Source organism: Homo sapiens, chromosome 7 (assembly GCF_000001405.40).
Source record: "Homo sapiens chromosome 7, GRCh38.p14 Primary Assembly".
NCBI classification, from domain to species: domain Eukaryota; kingdom Metazoa; phylum Chordata; class Mammalia; order Primates; family Hominidae; genus Homo; species Homo sapiens.
Genome location: NC_000007.14, coordinates 55,962,107 through 55,982,477, shown reverse-complemented (window position 1 = coordinate 55,982,477; position 20,371 = coordinate 55,962,107). Strand labels below are relative to the sequence as shown.

Here is a 20,371-nt window from a genome sequence, read left to right as displayed (position 1 = left end):
CGCGCCCGGTCAGAATTGTTGTTTGAATAGTATTACAACTGTTTATGTTTAAATACAACTTCAGGAGTCCAAACAATAAAATTTCTGTTACAAAAAAATGAAGTTTATTAACAAAAACTGAAGACAGAAAAGTCATTTAATTCTGTACTAACATCTATATATCATTAGTCTAAGTAAACATTTTTCAATATCATTACCTTATTTTCTCTGAGTTTATTCATGACTTCTGTGAGGGCTGGATAGCCTCCTTCATACCTCCAGAGGTGGACTGAAATGCATTTTAAAAGACAGTATACGTTTAGAATTTCATGATACTACTACTTGAAAATGTTCTAGATAGGTATAACGTTAACACAGCACAAAACTGTAGGCTGGGTGTGTGGTGGCTCATGCCTGTAATCCCAGCACTTTGGGAGGCTGAGACAGGCGGATCACTTGAGGTCAGGAGTTCCAGACCAGCCTGGCCAACATGGTGAAACCCTGTCTCTACTAAAAATACAAAAATTACCTGGGTGTGGTGGTGGGCACCTGTATTTCCAGCTACTTGGGAGGCTAAAGCAGAAGAATCGCTTAAACCCGGGAGGCAGAGGTCGCAGTGAGCCTAGATACTCATCACTGCACTCCAGCCTGGGCAACAGAGCAAGACTCTGTCTCAAAAAACAAAAAAACTGTAATGCCCCATGTTTTGGCCTATGAGTTACATCATAATGGTTCAATAATAGATTCAAACATTAAAAACAATTTTAAAACCATTTTCGCAATGAATTGTTGAAGAAACTACTTTAATCATAAAATTAGACTGAGACTTGGAAAGCTTTGATGATAAGAACAAGCATTAAATTAGAAAATTACTTAAGTGTTACATAAGGCTTAAGGAAGAAGTGTTTATTCCAAAGACTTCGCTTCCTACCAGCTTGGTCCTGCTCGCCATACCACGTGTTCCAAGTCCCCACCAAAGTACAAGGGTAGTGTTTATCTTCGTGAATCTTTGGCAACACCTCTTGACTTAAAGAGAAGAAACAGCAACACTAATTAAACAACCAGCAAAATTTGACCAGGTGGACAGCACCTGATCAGTAACAGGAAAAAGACCACCTACTCTGTGTTCTAACAACTGACCTTAGAACATCATGATAAAACGGCATGTGGAGTTAACCTTTTAGCTGAATTATGTTGTATTCCAACACCCTGCTGATCAGAAGCTTAGGTTTCTGATACCCCAACTATCTAGAAGAGTTGTTCAATCAGTATAATGATGATAAAGAAAAACCAAAGGTCCCAGGATTTTGGGAGCTATGGGTCTACTATTTTCCATTTGAGGGGAAAAAAAACGACATCACCAAAAAACATTCTGTTGGTTCCAAAGACAGAAGAATGAGAGACGGGGAATAGTAGAAAAGAACACAGAAGAAATAAGGAAGATGGAAAGGGAGGAAAGTAATGTTCAAGACAGAGGCAGACAACACAAGCAGTACCAGCAGGCAGAGGTAACAGGAGCAGAGAACAAGCTGGCCTTCAGGAAGGAGCAAGAAGACAGCTGGAACACAACATAGTCTGGAAGCGACTCCAACCTCCAATACTCCCCAAGGGCATCAACATGGCAGAAGAATAAAAATTAAAGATACAATGCGAAGCATAAATTATGTTCTACTCAATTCAATGGGCCAAGGGGATGGGAGGGGTGTCACGTAGTCTCGCACCGAACACACCAACCAATTCATTCCCGCGCATTGTGCAGGGACAGGGACAAAGCCATGACAGGTCACGGCAGTGTATGAATTTAACAGGGGTGTCAGAGTGGAGCTTGGTTCCATGGAAGCTTTCCTATGGTATAGATTCTAATGTACAGGGAAAGGCAAAGGGAAGAGTGTAACTGTTTTACACCAAGAGAAAAGCTAAAACCTGCACACTTTTTGAATAGAAAAATTATGATGAAAAAGTATCATACAGATTCAACAATGGATGCAAAAGGGGATCAAGGGCAAGAAATGGAACCTGTTCACACTATTTGCTGACTCTGATATTTAGCTAGTGATCACCACCAGATGCTGGGGCTACAGGACCAAGGGTATGTAAGTACCATGTGCTAACCGACTGCACCACTGGAGCTCCATACGACCAGGGATACATAAATGGTTAACAGAGAAAAGTTCCAAAACGGTCTAAGTCTAACTAACTGAAAACCCATACATCTTTATGACCCAGTATAGTGACCACATCATGTGTACTTTTGGAAGAGTAGCATTTACTTTTTAAATTAGGATCTGATATTAAATGTATCTGATGCGTGACTCATGAATGTTCAGAAATAACATGGGATCAATGAAAATCGAGGACAGGGAAAGAGGGATTCTGCTAGGGAAATGTATGTCCAACATTTCCTTTTCGTCGCATGACATGAGCAGGAATAGACAACCCTGCATTGGAGGCAGTGCCCAGGAGGAAGCCCAGTACACATGATTCAGGTGGGGTCCAGAAAGGGGCCTGGCAACGGGGCCCAGGTTTTTCACCAACACAAAGTCACGCATGGATTTGTAGCCACTCCTCTTTGCTGGGGACCCCAAACCTGCTCTTAGGAGCCCTGGCCTTACCTGAATGGAGATTGTAAGGCAGGCAGTACTTGTACCCAGAACTGGATGGGTTGGGCAGAATCCCATTATTGGGACCCCTAAAAACCAGGCAGGAGTTAAGTCTTTATGTTCTGCAAACAGGGAGCTGCTGAAAGTTTCAGAGAAAAGAAAAAACGTGATGAAAAAAGAAAACAGAACTCAAGCAGATCAATCTGACAAACTTTGGGGTAATGTATTGCAGGGCAGGAAGGAGACACAGGTATAGCTTGGAGCCCAGAAAGGTAGTCAGAAAAAAAGCTACTTGGGAATGGGGCTCGAGAGGCTTGGAGAGAGAGATGGAGAAGGAAACAAGAGAACCAAAATACATGTCCGATGAAGAATGCACAGCTTAGGTGACAGATTCACCACAGAGAACTAAGGAACGGGCTGAGTAAAACAAGGTGAGTGGCACAGACAGGGAAGTTGGAAGAGCAAGGTGATTCTACATGCTGGGTGTGAAGTGAGAGCACAACATCAAATAGAAATAGGAACAGACAGCCAGAAACCCGAGACAGGAGACGAAGTGATAAGACAGGACAAAAAAGGTAATCCAGGACAACATCGGCATAGGGAAAAATTCCATTTTTATGAGAAAAGACTTAGAAATAAACATCTGCTTTGTTTTAAGGGCATTTTTTAATAAAGAGAAATGTGCTGGAATGAGCAAGAAATTCAATGCTATTGTTACATTTCATAAGCTATCTTCAAAAACAAAACAATAAAAAACAAAAGGTTTTTCTTCTAAAAAGTATGCTGATTATAGGGACAAAATTGTTTGCTTTCTTAAGAACGTAGTAGATATTAAAGGTAAAAACAAAACAAAACTAAAAACCTTTTTCTTCACATTTGCTCACCATGGGTCATTAAAATACTATTTCTGTTAACTTAAAAGCTGGTAAGCTTAGTTCTCCCCTTTCGTCTTAAAGTTTACAAATTCTGTAAGCAGGTTTAGATCGCAAATCATAGGAGAATCAGCGGAAGGGACTTGGATCCTGGAGAACAGAGGAGTTGGGAAGAAATGGCAGCTATGTTCAAATACATACAGGACTCTCACAGGGCAGTTTTACTTAGGGGAATCAATGAAGGACTCAGAGATGTGAATTCTTATTCCTAACACTCAGAGCTGTCCAGAGATGGAACTTACTTCAGGACAGGCAGTCAGGAAGGTCTGTGGAAAGGACTCCAGCACTGGATAAGTAGATGGACTAGACAGCCTGGCAAAGTTCCTCCAAACACAAGAGTCTGGTAACATTCTAAAGTCTGATAGCCTATATGATGATTTAGCTGTGTGAGTGCTTAAAATCAAAACGCCTTCGGCAATCCCACATGAAGCTCAGTTTAAGAGCCTCTGAATGTTCAGCTTCAAAAGAGAGGGATGAAAGATCTCTCTCTATGCTATCAAGTGTTAGTGGAATTAACTAACAAATAAAGTCATTATTTTTCCCCAAGTAAAGGATAGTTTGGTATACACACCAAATTTTGTTGTATGCTTCTAGGCATTCCGGTTTAACATTGTGAACTGAAACAAAAGAAAATTCAACGATAAACTTAGGAACAAAGGGGAAAAAAAGTCAACTATGAAGATAGCAAACCTGTCACTCACACTGTAATTTGTATAGATTGCTTGTTTCCTTTTTGGCTAGGAGATTGGAGTGGGCATCTTTTCTTGGATCAACTTTCCGGACAAATAAGGATTTTAGCCAGCTGTCTTCTCGAGATCTGTTGCTGGAAGATGTCCATGTCCTATGGAATAACAAAGGTGTTGTCACGCAGTATACTGTTTTCATATATCCATCAGTTAATCTGGCAAACACAGTGAGCAGCTATTCTAGGCACCGTTCCAGAACCTGGGCTACCAAAGAATGCCTGCTTTCCATGACAACAGCATGCACTCCAAGAAGCAGAAGCAAAGAAAAATGTAAAATGTGTGGCACTCCTATAAGAGAGCCCACATTTATCTTTGCAATTTGCACTATGTGTTTTTCAAAGCAATTTTTGACACAGAAAAAATATACATGGATACCTAGAGTAGATAAACCCACAGAGACAGAAAGCAGAACGGAGGTTGCCAGGAGGTGAGGAAAGGGGAGGTTGGGGTAAGGAGTTTCAGTTTAGGAAGATGAAGAAATTCTCAAGATGAATGGTAGTGATGTTTCCCCAAAATGTGAATCTACTTAATGCCACTGAACTGTATGCTTAAAATGGTTAAAATGGTGAATTTTACATTACGTACATTTTGCCACAATTTAAAAAATATTATTTGATTTGGAAACAGATAGTGGTGATGATTGTACAACAATGTGAATATAAGTAATGCCACTGAATTATGCACTTAAGATGGTTTAAATGGCAAATTTTATGTATATATGTTTTACCACAATAAAAATATTTTAAAAATACAAGGAAAATGAAATACATTCTTTCTTTAAAAAAAATTTACCCCTCAAGTAACTTAAAAATCAAAAAAAAATTTTTTTTTAGATGGAGTCTCGCTCTATCGCCCAAGCTGGAGTGCAGTGGCACGATCTGGGCTCACTGCAACCTCCGCCTCCCAGGTTCAAGCGATTCTCCTGCCTCACCCTCTAGGGTAACTGGGATTACAGACACACACCACCACACCCAGCTAATTTTTTGTATTTTAGTAGAGATGGGGTTTCACTGTGTTGCCCAGGCTGGTCATGAACTCCTGAGCTCAGGCAATCCACCTGCCTCAGCCTCCCAAAGTGCTAGGATTACAGGCAGGAGCTACCGAGCCTGGCCAAAAAAAAAATCAAGATTTGTAAAAATTAACTTTAAAAATCAAAAATTTTTTAACTGCCCCCACAAACCTCAGAATACCAACTTTATTAACACATAATTTGCTAATTTTCATCTCATAATTAAATTTCTATTGTGAATGCTTTCAGAAAGTGAGGATAAATTTGACTCAAGTCACAAACTATACTTTACTCATGGATTTTTTCTTTCTTTTTTTGAGACTGGGTCTTGCCCTGTCACCCAGGCTGGTGTGTGGTGGTGCGATAGCTCACTGTAGTTCACTGTAGCCTCAAATTCCTGGGCTCAAGTGATCGTCCCACCTCAGCCTCCTGAGAAGCTGGGACTAGAGGCATACGTCATCTTGCATGGTTAATTTTTTTAAATTTTTTGTAGAGATGGGGTCTTGCTATGTTGCCCAAGTTGTTCTCAAACTCCTGGCCTCAAGCAATGCTCCCACTTCAGCCTCTCAAAGTGCTGGGATTATAGGTGTAAGCCACTGCAATTGGCCCTACTTCACAAATATCTATGTGCATGTTGAACTCCCATATGCCAGCTAATAGGAATACAAATTTGTTGACCTCCCAAGAGGGCAGTGTGGCATCATCCATATCAAAATGGAAACTGTGTATGACTTCAGCCCAATAATGACACTTGCGGTTATGTCCTACGGCCAGCTATATTTAGACAGGTGCACAAAGTTGAATGCATACAAATATTCATTGCTGTCTTGTTTCCAGTTATCTCCTGGCATAGGCCATTTGAATAGCCATTAATGCAGACTGGTCACGTAAATTAGGAAATACTCCCCGTCAGAAAATATGCACTCGATAAAAAGAATGAGGTAGATTTATGTGCACTGATGTGCTGACATCTCCAAGATAAATTCTGTAAAAAAGCCGGCACAGAACAGCACTATATATACACATACAGAGTGAGCTGTTAAAGGGTGATGACATCTGGGGAACATGACTGGGCCTGGGGTGGGAGTAAAGGTTTTTTCTTTTCATTGTATAACCTTCTGAACTATCTGAACAATTTCTACACACACACACACACACACACACACACACACTTTTTTGAGAGAATCTCGCTCTGTTGCCAGGCTGGAGTGCAGTGGCACCATTTCAGCTGACTGCAACCTCCACCTCCCAGGTTCAAGCGATTCTCCCGCCTCAGCCTCCTGAGTAGCTGGGACTACATGGTGTGCCACCGTGCACGGCTAATTTTTGTATTTTTAGTAGAAACAGGGTTTTGCCATGTTAGCCAGGCTGGTCTTCAACCCCTGACCTCAAGTGATCTGCCCACCTCGGCCTCCCAAAGTGCTGGGATTATAGGTGTGAGCCACTGCGCTCAGCCCTCTTCTGAACTTTATGTAACCATGATCAAATGACAAACAGCGTTTCCCTCATCTTCTTGGTTTTTCACATCTATGTACAATAAAATGTACTTTTTTGGCAGACAGTACTGAGTTTTGACAAATGCCTAAAGTAATGTAACCAGCATCACAACAGCTTCTTCACCCCTTGAAGTTAATCCTTTTATAATCAACCCCTCTCCCCATCTCTAGCAACCACTGCTGTGTTCCTTGTCCCTCAGTTTTGCCTTTTCTAGAACATCGTATGTATGGAATCATACAGAAGGGTAGCCTTCTGAATTCCTGCCCCTTCTTTCTGCACAATCCCTTTTATAATTGGTGATCTTACCTCTGGCCAGGTCTATCACAGCATACCCTTTATACTTTTGTTCTCTTTTTATTTTTGAGACAGGCTCTTACTCTGTTGCCCAGGCTGGAGTGCACTGGTGTGATCACGGCTCACTGCAGCCTTGACCCCCAGAGCTCAAACGATTCCCCCACCTCAGCCTCCAGATTAGCTGGGACAACATATGCACACCACCATGCCTGGTTAATTTTTGTATTTTCTATAGAGAATGGGTTTTGCCAGGTTGCCCAGGCTGGCCTTGAACTCCTGGCCTCAAGCGATCCTCCTGCCTTGGCCTCCTGAAGTGTTGAGATTTCGAGCATGAGCCACCATGCCCAGCTACTTTTGCTCTCCAACTGACCTACACATAGATCTTTTCTGCCTTTTCCTAGATCAGTAATGTACTGGGATTCCAAAGGGCCAGCATAAATGTCCAGAATCTTAGTGCTTCTGGACATAAAAGTCCAGATGCTGATGGGCCAGTGTGAACCTCTTCTTGGGGATCTCTTTAGAAACACTAGATGATTTTCTACAACAGTATTTCTTTTTTTTTTTTTTTTTTTTAAGACAGAGTCGCGCTCTGTTGCCCAGGCTGGAGTACAGCGGCATGATCTTGGCTCACTGCAAGCTCCGCCTCCCAGGTTCACGCCATTCTCCTGCCTCACCCTCCTGAGTAGCTGAGACTACAGGCGCCCGCCGCCACACCCGGCTAATTTTTTGTATTTTTAGTAGAGATGGGGTTTCACCGTGTTAGCCAGGATGGTCTCGATCTCCTGACCTCATGATCCGCCTGCCTCGGCCTCCCAAAGTGCTGGGATTACAGGCGTGAGCCACTGCGCCCAGCCTTCTACAATAGTATTTCTAATCTGCTTGGTAGACTTGCTTAAGCACCCAGATACCACCAGGTAAACATTAAGAGGAAAAGAAAGAGCAACTCCAGGTATTAAAAAGGGGGACCAGGAATTTAAACAAGGGACAAGAAAAACTCTCATGAGAGCAAATTCCCCAGTACTTCATGAAATGAACACATGGATTTCATACTACAATAATAGAAATTCCTATTCTTATGCAGCAACGGTATTTTAGAAGTAGGGCTCTAAATTTCACATGATACTGGCAGCCTTTTTCTTTCTTTCTTTCTTTCTTTTTTTTTGCTTAAAAAATCAGTTTGCTGCTTTATTTATTTATTTTTGAGGCAGGGTCTCATTGCACTTGCTGGAGTGCAGTAGTGCAATCTCGGCTCACTGCAACCTCTGCCTCCCAGGTTCCAGCAATTCTCCCACCTCAGCCTCCTGACTATCTGGGACTACAGGTGCATGCCACCACATCCGGCTAATCTTTGTATTTTTAGTAGGGACAGGGTTTCATCATGTTGGCCAGGTTGGTCTCGAATTCCTGGCCTTAAGTGATCCGCCAGCCTCAGCCTCCCAGAGTGCTGAGATTGCAAGGGTGAGCTGCCGCACTCAGCCTAGTTTGCTGCTTTCTTGAACAAACATTACAGAGCAATCTTCTCCCCAATATGATGTTCTTTTAATTTAAAAACCAATTCATAGGATATTGTCTCAAATAGGTAGAAACCAGATATAAAGATTTTTGAATGATGTGAACTTACAAATACAAATATATTGGCCGGGAGTGGTGGCTCACGCTTCTAAATCCCAGCTCTCTGGGAGGCCGAGGCAGGTGGATCACCTGAGGTCAGGAGTTCAAGACCAGCCTGGCCAACATGGTGAAATCTTGTCTCTACTAACACTACAAAAAAAAAAAAAAATAGCTGGGTGTGGTGGCACACGCCTGTGATCCCAGCTACTCAGGAGGCTGAGGTAGGAGAATCGCTTGAACCCAGGAGGTGGAGATTGCAGTGAGCCAAGTCGTGCCACTGCACTCCAGCCTGGGCTACACAGCAAGACTCAATCTCAAAAAAAGTAATAATAATAAAATAAAATAAAATAAATTAAAAATAAAATGTGCTCTATAAATAATTATAAAGAAATATAAAAGCACGTTTTCACATCCTTCAAAGATTAAAAAGAAGCAAACTCACTTTAAACAAGCAAAATAACAATACCAGTAAATGCAATTTTTCTTGAAAGATAAAAACATATAGTATTAAGTGGCATTTGCAGATGTAAGTTGAAGATGCTTCCAATTTGTGTTTACTATATATAAAAATTCCTAAAAATTAAGAAAGCATTAATGGTGGTTTCCCTGAGAAAATGGTTTAAAGGGATAGAGGGGAAAGACACACAGCTTTCTCCATATAATGTCTATATTGTGCTTTTCTCTTCTGTATTTTTTTTTTCTTTGAGACAGGGTCTCACTTTGTCACTCAGGCTGGAGTGCAGTGGCGTGATCTTGGCTCACTGTAGCCTCGACCTCCCGGGTTCAAGCTATCCTCCTGTCTCAACCCCTCCCAAGTAGCTGGGACTACAGGTGCCCAGCACCACATCCAACTAATTTTTGTATTTTTTTGTAGAGACAGGGTTTCACCATGCTGCCCAGGTTGGTCTTGAATTTCTGAGCTCAAGTGACCTGCCTGCCTCAGCTTCCCAAAGTCCTGGGATTATAGGCGTGAACCACCACACCCAGCCATATTCCAATAAAAATGAAAGCACATTTTGTCAATTAGTTTGAAGTGTTTTACGTACACTACATTTAGGGATATCTGTTTAATAATATCATGGGCTGGGCACAGTGGCTCATGCTTGTAATCCCAGCACTTTGGGAGGCCAAGGAGGCGGGTGGATCACCTGAGGTCGGGAAACCAGACTGACCAACATGCAGAAACCCCGTCTCTACTAAAAATATAAAATTAGCCAGGCATGGTGGCGCATGCCTGTAATCCCAGCTACTCAGGAGGCTGAGGCAGGAGAATCGCTTGAACCCGGGAGGTGCAGGGTGTAGTGGGCCGAGATCACGCCACTACACTCCAGCCTGGGCAACAAGAGTGAAACTCTGTCTCAAAAAAAAAAAAAAAGAAAAAGAAAAAAGAAACTTACGCATTACTTTAAGGCAACCATATAAAATTAGTGATACACAAAGTAGAAAGTTTTAAGATTTGTTTATGGGACTATGTAATTTCTGTATGTTCTTTTTTTTTTTTGAGACAGAGTCTTGCTCTGTTGCCCAGGCTGGAGGGCAATAGTGGCACAATCTCAGCTCACTGCAACCTCCGCCTCCTGGGTTCAAGTGATTCTCCTGCCTCAGCCTCCTAAGCAGTTGAGACTAGCGGCACCCACCACCACACCCATCTAATTTTTGTATTTTTAGTAGAGGTGGGTTTTCACCATGTTGGCCAGGCTGGTCTTGAACCCCTGACCTCAGGTGATCCACCTGCCTCGGCCTCCCAAAGTGCTGGAATTATAGGTGTGAGCCACTGTGCCCAGCCAATTTCTGTGTTTATTTTAGATTTTAAGTTCATTAAACAGAAATTGTGTCTACAATTTTTTTTGTTAAATAAATTGTAAAAGCTTAGGAATAACAATTATGAACAATTAAGAAAGGGATATAATAAAAAGTGTCTAAAAATACTGACTAGGGAGTTTCACTTAAAATAAGAAATACTAAAGCAATGACTACTAATAGTTTTATGTATATCCTTCCAGAAATACAGAGGCAAACATATATTATGTATATTTATAGACAGATAATATTTTCACTGATAAAGGATGCCTTTGAAATAAAAATCACCCCAACTGAGCATTTATTTCATATCTCAGAAACACCAAAGTCAGCCTGGGCAGCATAGGAAGACCCTGTCTCTACAAAAAAAAATAAAAAGAGTAGCTGGGCATGGTGGCTCGTGCTTATGGTCCTAGCTACCCAGGAACCTGAGGCAGGAGGATCGCTTGAGCCCACAAGTTCAATGCTGTAGTGAGCTATGATCATGCACTGTACTCCAGCCCGGGCAACAGAGCAAGACCACCTCTAAAACAAACAAACAAATAATAATACCAAAGGGATTCCCCTTTGGGTGGGTACAATGAGGTAAGGGATGTGACAATGCTAGTAATCGAAAAATGCAGAGCAGGGGGTGAGACTAAATCAACACAGCACACACAAAAGAACCTGAGTGGCATTTGCTTGTGAACTTGGGCAGCAATCGTCTTGACAAATGAAAAACAAGCCGGCCAGTACTACCCCCAACCGTCAAACTGAAATCTTTGAGTGTCAGGTGACCAAAGCTGCCTAACATGCCCAACCTATCTAGTCATTCGAGTCGCAGCTATGCCAACGGCTGCCCAAATGATAAGATCTGGCTTGGGCCTGGGTTCTTAACTGACAGTGACAATCGCCAAGATGGTAGGGGGCACTTTCCAGAGGATAAGGAAGGGTGCACTATACAAAACACTAGACTTGAAATCAAGTCAGCATTCTATGCCGGGCTCTATGGATACAAAGATAAACCAGATGCCAAGCCTATTCAGTCTCACAGGAAAAACCTATCAGTAAACAGCCAGAGTGGCCACAGATGCTGTAAACTTAGACATACACTGCAAGAGCTCAAGTGAACCCACCATCAGCTTGGCCTGGGAGGTGCAGGAGGGACTCCAGTAGGGGCACTCTGGCTCTGTTTTGGAGGGCAAGCAAGACAGGTGGAGAAGGCAGGTGCTAATTCCAGTCAATGGGAACAACATGTACAGGGACATGGAGTCATGACACTGAATGGCATATGTCTGGAATGGCAAGCTGTTTAGCAAGGCAGAAGAGCATGTGGGAGGACCGTGAGGGCGAGGCGAGGGCGACTTTATTCTGTGTAGGGTGAGATGCTGTCAAGTTTTCAAAAAAAATATAAGTGTCGGACAAGCGCAGTGCCTCATGCCTGTAATCCCAGCACTTTGAGAGGCCGAGGTGGGCGGATCATCTGGGGTCAGGAATTCAAGACCAGCCTGGGCAACATGGCCAAACCCTGTCTCTACTAAAAAATACCAAAAAAATGGCCAGGTGTGGTGGTGGACGCCTGTAGTCCCAGCTACTCGGGAGGCTGAGGCAGGAGAATCACTTGAACCTGGGAGGCGGACGTTGCAGTGAGCCAAGATCACGCCACTGCTCTCCAGCCTGGGCAAGAGTGCAAGACTCCGTTTCAAAAAAAAAAAAAAAAATCTAAGTGTCAAAAGCAGCCTGGCAGGAGCGTGGTATATGGCTGCAGCAACAAAGGCCAGGAACATGCTTCCTGGGCACCCTGGCTGCCATGCCCAGCAGCACCAGGTATGCAGAAGGCACTCAATAAATACTCACTAGATGGTCTGGGGTTAAGATGGCAGTGGGGATGAAGAGAAAGGAGTGCATTCAGAAGAAGCTTGTGAGTGCTGATCAGGCGGGGAAGAGGAAACTGAAGAAGGGAAAGGACTTAACGCTGAGACCACAGGATGAGGCAGCAGGAGCACACCGTGCTTCATTCATATGATCTTTTTTTTTTTTTTTTTTTTGAGACAGAGTCTCGCTCCGTCGCCCAGGCTGGAGTGCAGTGGTGGGATCTCGGCTCACTGCAAGTTCCGCCTCCCGGGTTCACGCCATTCTCCTGCCTCAGCCTCCTGAGTAGCTGGGACTACAGGCGCCCACCACCACGCCCGGCTAATTTTTTGTATTTTTAGTAGAGACAGGGTTTCACCATGTTAGCCAGGATGGTCTCGATCTCCTGACCTCGTGATTCGCCCACCTTGGCCTCCCAAAGTTCTGGGATTACAGGCGTGAGCCACCGCGCCCGGCAATATGATCACTGTTATTTACAGACTGTGCACTACACCTGTCAGCCACTGACGATGCACAGATGAACCTGGCCCTGACTTCACGGGAGCTCAGTTTGCTGGTGAGGGCAGACAGACAAACACGATCACAACTCAAACAGACAAGCTCTTCAATGATGACACAAGGAAGTAGGTAGCTGTTGTGGCATGGGTAAGGGCAGCCTGGGGGCCTGCTCTAACGAAGTACCTGTTGAGTGGAAGACTGGAAAGAAGAGGAGCAGATGGTCAGGTAGATACCCATGGAAGGGAGATTCTAAGCAGAACCAGTGAAGGCCAAAGACACAAGTGTGCAAACAGCACCAGCATTTGGAAGCACAGACCCGGGGGAGAGAAGAGGTTGACAGACCCATGCCAAGAAGACTCCTGCCTTAAAGCAGCAGCTCCCTGACTCCCCTCCCCACCACCACACTCCATCCAGCCCCAGTACCCCGTCTTCCACACTGCTGCTCCAGAGACCTGTTCCCACACCTTTCATTTCCAGAAACTTCAAACCCAGAGGAGTTTAAACATGACAAGACTTTTCTGCCCTGCATCTAGATTTTAAAAATGAACATTTTACCATTAAAAGTTTTTCTCTATATATATTTGCTTTTTAATTTCTTTTTTTCTTTTTTTTTTCAGACAGGGCCTTGTTCTCTCATGTCAGCTGGAGGGCAGTGGCGCGATCTCGGCTCACTTCAGCCTCCACCTCCTGCGCTCGAGCAATTACCTTGCTTCAGCCACCTGTATAGCTGGGACTACAGCCCTGCACCACCACACCCTGCTAAATGTTGTAGTTACCCTGCTAAATGTTGTAGTTTTAGTAGAGACAGGGTTTCATCATGTTGTCCACGCTGGTCTTGAGCTTCTGGCCTCATGTGATCCGTGAGCCTTGGCCTCCTACAGTGCTAGGATTACAGGTGTGAACCACCACACCCGGCCCTATATTTGCTTTTTAATTTCTACTGAACCATTTGAAAGTAGAGTTTTGGGCTGGGGGCAGTGGCTCACGCCTATAATCCCACCACTTTGGGAGACCAAAGCAGGCCAAGGCGGGCAGATCACGAGGTCAGGAGATCGAGACCATCCTGGCCAAATGGTGAAACCCCATCTCTATTAAAAATACAAAAAAATTAGCTGGTTGTGGTGGCGCACGCCTGTAGTCCCAGCTAATCGGGAGGCTGAGACAGGAGAATCACTTGAACCCGGGAGGCAGAGGTTGCAGCGAGCCGAGATCACCCCACTGCACTCCGGCCTGGGTGACAGAGCGAGACTCTGTCTCAGGAAAAAAAAAAAAAAAAGAAAGTAGAGTTTGGACATAATGATACTTCTCCCGTAAATCCTTCAGCATGTACCTCCAAAACACAATGACAGAACTACAATGCTATCATCACATCTGAGAAAAACAATTATTCCATCATATCTAATATCCACTCCCTATTAAAATATCCCCAGTTCTCCCCAAAATGTCTTTCATTGCTCTTGTGGGTAGGGGAATGGGGGCAGACAGGGAGGAGGGATTAGGAACCAGTCAAGGTTTGTGTCATAGAGATCTTTCTACTAGGAAAATGTCCGCTTAGAATTCTTTAGACGTGTGGCTGGGCACAATGGCTCACACCTATAATCCTAGAACTTTGGGAGGCGGAGGGTGGGAGGACTGCTTGAGGCCAGGAGTTTGAGACTAGCCTGGGGAACATAGCAAGACCCCCCTCTCTACAAAAAAATTAAAAATTAGCAGCCGGGTGTGGTGATTCATCCCTGTAATGCCAGCACTTTGGGAGGCCGTGGTGGGAGGATCACTTGAGGCCAGGAGTTTGAGACCAGCCTGGGCAACATGGAGAAACCCCATCTCTACTAAAAATACAAAAATTATCCAGGCGTGGTGGTGCACGCCTGTAAGTCCCAGCTGTTCAGGTAGCTGAGACAGGAGAACTGCTTGAACCCAGGAGGTGGAGGTTGCAGGGAGCCGAGATCACGCCACTGAACTCCAGCCTGGGCAACAGAGTGACACTCTGTCTCAAATAAATAAATAAATAAATAAATAAATAAATAATAGCTGGGCATGGTGGTGTGGGCCTGTAGTCCCAGCTACTTGGGAGGCTGAGGTGGGAAGATCCCTTAAGTCCGGAAGGTCAAGGCTGCAGTGAGCCGTGGTCATGCCATTAAACTCCAGCCTGGGCAACAGGGCAAGACTATCTCCAAGGAAAAAAAAAAATTCTTTAGTCATCCCCTTCACTAACAGGTTCGAGCCCACACTCTTCGTAGGAATCCAGACGAGTATTGCTGAGGGTTGAGCTAGGGCAGTGAAGATGGAGAGGGTGGATTCAAGACATACTAGAGGCAGAACTGACAGATTTGGTAAATGATAGATGGCGGGAAAAAGAGGGATGGGCTTGGGGAAGACCATCTGGTGTCTGGCCTGGGCCACCACATGGAAAATGTTTCATGACTGGAGAAGAACAACCAAAGAAAAGCAGGCTTCACAGAAGGAAGAGGAGTTAAATCCTGGGTACAGCAGTGTTTTAAGCACCTGTGAGACACTTATGCAATGTCCAGGAAGCGGCTGGGAATTCCAAGCTTGCTGCTGAGCAGCACTAAGTGAAATACGCTGGCTAATGTACAGGCAGGGATGAGGCTCCCGGGAGGACGCCCTTCTCCCTTGCTGAAACTGATTCAGCAAATCCTGTTTTCTTCTGTCATTTTACCTAACACTTTGGCAGCGGATGGCACTCCCTCCCTCCTCCTGGCCACTGCCACATAACAATGAGCTTGCCAGCTCCCCCTCCTACATTCAGCCTATATACGCTGCACATCCCAGGACTTGCTTTGCAGCCCCTTCTCTCTCCACACTCTCGCCTCAAGCAATCTCACACATTCCTATATTTTTTTGTTTGTTTTATTTTGGAGACAGGGTCTGGCTCTGTCACCTAGGCTGGAACGCAGTGGCATGATCTCGGCTCACTGCAACCTCCACCTCCCAGGTTCAAGCCATACTCCCACCTCAGCCTACCAAGTAGCTGGGACTACAGGCGTGTGCCACCATGCCGGGCTAATTTTTGTATTTTTTGTAGAGATGTGTTTTGTCATGTTGCCTGGGATGGTCTCGAACTCCTGAGCTCAAGCGATCAGCCCAGCTCGGCCTCCCAAAGTGCTGGGATTACAGCCTGAGCCACTGCACCCGGCTTCCTATGGTTTAAAAAAAGTTTCATTATACAAATTTTTATTTATGTACTTATTTATTATTAGGGACAGAGTTCCACTATGTTGCCCAGGCTGGTCTCAAACTCCTGGGCTCAAGCAATCCTCCTGCCGCAACCTTCCAAAGTGCAGGGATTACAAGTGTGAGTCACTGCGTCCAGGCTTTATTATGAAAAACGTAAATCAAATACGAAACAGTATAATGAAATCCATGTGTCTATTAACATTTAGCATTCCTATATACTGACAACTCCTAAATGTTACCTGTAGCCCAGACACCTCCTTTGAGGAGTCATACTGCCAACTGTCTGTTTGCGTTTCCACTTGAATAGCACACAGCCTTCACAAACTTTACCAGGTCCTAAACTGCTCTGAATTCTTCTTCCCCAGCCCTCCTGAATTACTGGTAAGCTCCGGATGGCCTTGGACGCCTTATTCACTGATGTCTCTCAACAGTCAACAGTGCCTGGCACGTGGTAGGCACTCACATTTTGGCAGAACAGCTCTCTGCAAACTCTCAACTCTCAGTGCCAGGGTCCACTCAGCTGGCCACTACCCTTAATTCTGCCCCCTCTCCCAAGTCAGACTCATCTTTTTAAAAAGATCAGGCCGCGCCTGGTGATTCACGACTGTAATCCCTGCACTTTGGGAGGCCGCGGCAGGTGGATCACCTGAGGTCAGGAGTTCGAGATCAGCCTGACCAACATGGTGAAACCCCGTCTCTACTAAAAATACAAAAATTAGCCGGGTGTGGTGGTGCATGCCTGTAATCCCAGCTACTTGGGAGGATGAGGCAGGAGAATTACTTGAACCCGGGAGGCGGAGGTTGCAGTGAGACAAGATCGTGCCGTTGCACTTCAGCCGGGGCAACGAGAGCAAAACTCCGTCTCAAAAATATAAATAAATAAACAACAACAATAATAATAATAATAAACCATGTTACTGAAACCTCCCTGGCCCATGGCGAGTTTAACACACAGTTCCTTAGGTAATTTAAACTACCCAAAGCAATGAATACGAGAAAGCAACTCTGGGTAAGTCAGGATAGGCTTTGCTGTTTGAATGTGGAAAACAGCACATGCAAATATCAAGGTGATGAATTTGGACAACCAAACGTCCAATCCACTGAAGTTAGAAAAAAAAAAAAGTTTAAACAAGAGCCCCACGCCTGAACTTAGTGCTGATAACTCTAAGTACTTTTAGATCCACGGCCGGCTTTAAATTTCAACTCCAAGACGTTAAGTGATTTGACCTCCTCCAAGCTCTAACTTCCCCTACGCTCCGCGGAGAGCTGGCCCGGGACAATGCTTTACTCTTTTATTCCCTACTCCCGGCACCTCAGAGACCAGGGTCACCAACGTCCTCGGCAGACGCAGCCACTCAGGCTTGGAACAGCCTCCGGCGAGGACCCAGCAGACGGCGTCCGGGGCCTGCGGCCTCAGGCGCGCGCTGTCCCTGTCCCTGGCCACGGGTCGCGCCGGTCAGGGCCCTGCAGGCCGGGCCAGCGCCGCGGGGAGGATGTGGCCTCCGGGCCAAGCCTCGGGGGCCTTCCCGGGCGAGGGTGGAGCCGCAGAGCGGCCCGTCCCCTCCGTGACCTTGAGCCCGAGGACGCCCCGACCCCGCCCCAGCTCCGGCCCCACCCCAGCTCCGGCCCCACTGCCCCGAGGCCGGGCAGCCACCCGCGCTGGGGACAGGGCCGGGGCGGAGACCGGCGCCGGGAAACCCGCGCCCTCCGCCTCGCGGCGGCCCCTCCCCGGCACCTCCCGGGAAGGGCGGCGCTGCTCACCGGAGCCTGGGCAGGAGGCTGCAGGGGGCCGCCCGCTGCAGGAGGCCGCCGGCCCAGGCCGCTCCGCGGGCGCGCAGCACTCGCGCCGCCATCTTGCTCGGCGCCTCGGCTCCCACCGCCCGGGCGCCGCCGCTGACGCCGCCGCCGCGCGACCCCTCCCCCGGCCGGGCCCCAACGCGGCCACTGCAGTGCGGGGCGCGGCCGCCAGGGGGAGCAGGGCGCGCGGCCGCGGGGGTCGGCGGGGCGTCCAGGCGCCAAGGCCCGGCCGCTGCGGGAAAGCGCGAAGCCCAAGCGCAGTCAGTGCAAGCCGATCACTTCAGCGGGAGGAGCTCGGTGCCCAGAAGCGCGGGTGCAGAAGGGACAAGGGCATAACTTCAATGATCAGGGAAAACTCCAAAAGGAAAGAGTAACACTGTGCCTAGGGGAATCCAGGGCCTGGGGCGGGGCAGTGGCAGTGGGTTTACCCCCACCCCACCCCGCCAATGTCTTTTAAATTTTGTAGTATATGAATATATTGTCATTTCAAAAAGCCCCACAACGCTTTAACAAGTGCATTCTGGGGCCGGACGCAATAGCTCACGCCTGTCATCCCAGCACTTTGGGAGGCTGAGGCCGGAGATCTCTTGAGGCCAGGAGTTCGAGACCAACCTGGGCAACATAGCGAGCCCTCACTGTGCAAAAACATTTTTAAATTAGCCGGGCATGGAGGAGCACGTCTGTGATGCCAGCTACACTGGAGACTGAGGCAGAAGGATCGCTTGAGTTCAGGAGGTGGAGGCTGTAGTGAACTATGATCGTGCCACTGCACTCCAGCCTGGGCAAACACACGACGTCCTGTAGCGAAAGAAAGAAAGAGAGAAAGAGAGAGAAAGAAAGGGAGGGAAAGGAAGGAAGGAAGGAGAAAGAAAGGAGGAAGGAAGGGAGGCAGGAGAAAGAAAGGAGGGAAGGAAGGAGAAAGAAAGGAAGGGAGGGAGGCAGGAGAAAGAAAGAAAGAGAGAAAGGAAAAGAAAAGAAAGCAAGTGAGGAAAAAATTAAAAAACACCATACACACACAAAAAAAATTAAGGAGAAAGGACTGGGAAGGTTCTCTTGAGGTCTTGGGACTGCATCGTTCCCATTCATTTCAGCACCGGTGGGCACTGGCCATGGGGAGTCCTTGGTACCTTACCCTCAAGGCCGTCTGGGTCTAGTGGGGACAGAATGTACAATGATGATTGGACCGAGTGTGTTAAGTGTCAAAATGGACAGGTTCATGAGACACGAAAGAGGCACGGAAAGAGAGCATGTAACCGGGGGTGGCTGTGAATTAGAGGATAGATGGGGAGAAAGTTCTCCAAGGAGCTGGCAGGACATATCAGTCCCAGGGGAAGAAGGGAGGGCATCCCTGTCTTGAGGAAATAACTTAAGCAAAGGCGTGGATCTGGGTGGCTGGCGCTATAGAGGGAAAAATGTGTCCTCCAGGAAGATTTTTTAAAAAGCCACAAATGAGCCAGGCACGGTGGCTCACGTCTGTAATCCCAGCACTTCGGGTGGCCGAGGCGGGCGGATCACCTGAGGTCAGGAGTCCGAGACCAGCCTGGCCAATATGGTGAAATCCCATCTCTACAAAAATACAAAAATTAGGCAGGCATGTTGTCGGGTGCCTGTAATCCCAGCTACTCGAGAGGCTGAAGTGGGAGAATTGCTTGAACCTGGGAGGTGGAGGGTGCAGTGAGCCGAGATTGTGCCTCTGCACTCCAGCCTGGGCAACAGAGTGAGACTCCATCTCAAAAAAAAAAAGAAAAGAAAAAGAAAAAAGCCACAAATATAACCATGAAAACTGCAACCAAGGTGAGGGCAGGAGGAAGGAAGCTGGACCCTGGGGGTGGGGGAGAACCTGGGAGAAGTAGGGGCTCTGGCCACCAAAGGGAGCATTTCCAGGCCAGTGCGGGGCTGCAGAGGCAGAGAGGAAAGTGCCCTCAGGACTGGGTTGCTTGGAGGTCATAAGGTGGACAAAAACTGGGAGGTTCCCTGAAGCTGGTAATCTTGGGGGCCAAGGGAGCATCAGGGCTCAAGGGGTGCAGTTTTCTGACTGGGGTAGAATTTGAACACGTTAATATGGCAAGGAGCCACCAGGGAGGACAGAGGTGGACCCTGTGGATGGAGGAGGGCTTTGCCCCAGAGCAGGGAAAGGCACCTGTCCCTTGGAGGCCAGTGGGATGGAGGCCAAGGGACACAAGGATAGGAGGCCAGAGGCTGTGTGGCTGAGGACCTCCTGGCCTCAACTAGTGTATGCTTAGTAAAGCTGTGGAGAACCCTGTAAGAAGTACTTTTTAAGTGGTCCATTTTCAGAAAACAGACAAGTCTGGGCAGTTCCCTTGTGGATGTGACAAGATGCACGGGTACAGACATCTGGGAAGAGTGATAAAACTCACAGAAGTCAGAGGGGAGGGAGAAAAGTGGCAGGGGTGTCTAATCCATAAAAGGAAAGAAAGCTTAGCCATTGGGAAATCGAAACTTCAAGTAGGGAAGAGGACAAGATGTAACCTAATAAGGGGATAATGGAACTTAGGTGATGTCCAGGAAGACTGCAACCCCATATTACTCAGCCTGTGA

At 46.5% G+C, this 20,371-nt stretch overlaps 1 protein-coding gene across 2 annotated transcripts in view, besides 5 other annotated features; it reads right to left on the bottom strand.

Annotated features, from left to right (window-relative positions):
• NIPSNAP2 (nipsnap homolog 2) overlaps window positions 1-17,893 on the bottom strand; it is a 35,595-nt gene extending 17,702 nt beyond the window's left edge. The window contains exons 1-5 of one of the 2 annotated variants that reach the window (NM_001483.3): window positions 17,777-17,893; window positions 4,213-4,352; window positions 4,083-4,128; window positions 911-1,005; window positions 198-268 (exon numbers count right to left, since the gene is read on the bottom strand). In NM_001483.3, coding sequence (NP_001474.1) covers window positions 198-268; window positions 911-1,005; window positions 4,083-4,128; window positions 4,213-4,352; window positions 17,777-17,868 — 444 coding nt within the window. In that variant the 5' untranslated portion in view covers window positions 17,869-17,893. The remainder of the gene's footprint in view (window positions 1-197; window positions 269-910; window positions 1,006-4,082; window positions 4,129-4,212; window positions 4,353-17,776) is intronic. The other variant, NM_001202469.2, reaches the window with a different exon arrangement.
• Window positions 16,851-17,584: an enhancer, noted in NCBI's record as "H3K27ac hESC enhancer chr7:56032587-56033320 (GRCh37/hg19 assembly coordinates)". NCBI's record gives its function as "activates a minimal SCP1, AML or CMV promoter by ChIP-STARR-seq in naive and primed H9 embryonic stem cells {active_cell/tissue: H9 hESC(naive and primed)}" and the evidence as "EXISTENCE:reporter gene assay evidence [ECO:0000049][PMID:30033119]".
• Window positions 16,851-17,833: a biological region, named in NCBI's record as "H3K27ac hESC enhancer GRCh37_chr7:56032587-56033320".
• Window positions 17,354-17,833: a silencer, noted in NCBI's record as "silent region_18193". NCBI's record gives its function as "represses an Ori minimal core promoter by ATAC-STARR-seq in GM12878 lymphoblastoid cells {active_cell/tissue: GM12878}" and the evidence as "EXISTENCE:reporter gene assay evidence [ECO:0000049][PMID:35858748]".
• Window positions 17,894-18,003: a silencer, noted in NCBI's record as "silent region_18192". NCBI's record gives its function as "represses an Ori minimal core promoter by ATAC-STARR-seq in GM12878 lymphoblastoid cells {active_cell/tissue: GM12878}" and the evidence as "EXISTENCE:reporter gene assay evidence [ECO:0000049][PMID:35858748]".
• Window positions 18,154-18,233: an enhancer, noted in NCBI's record as "active region_26044". NCBI's record gives its function as "activates an Ori minimal core promoter by ATAC-STARR-seq in GM12878 lymphoblastoid cells {active_cell/tissue: GM12878}" and the evidence as "EXISTENCE:reporter gene assay evidence [ECO:0000049][PMID:35858748]".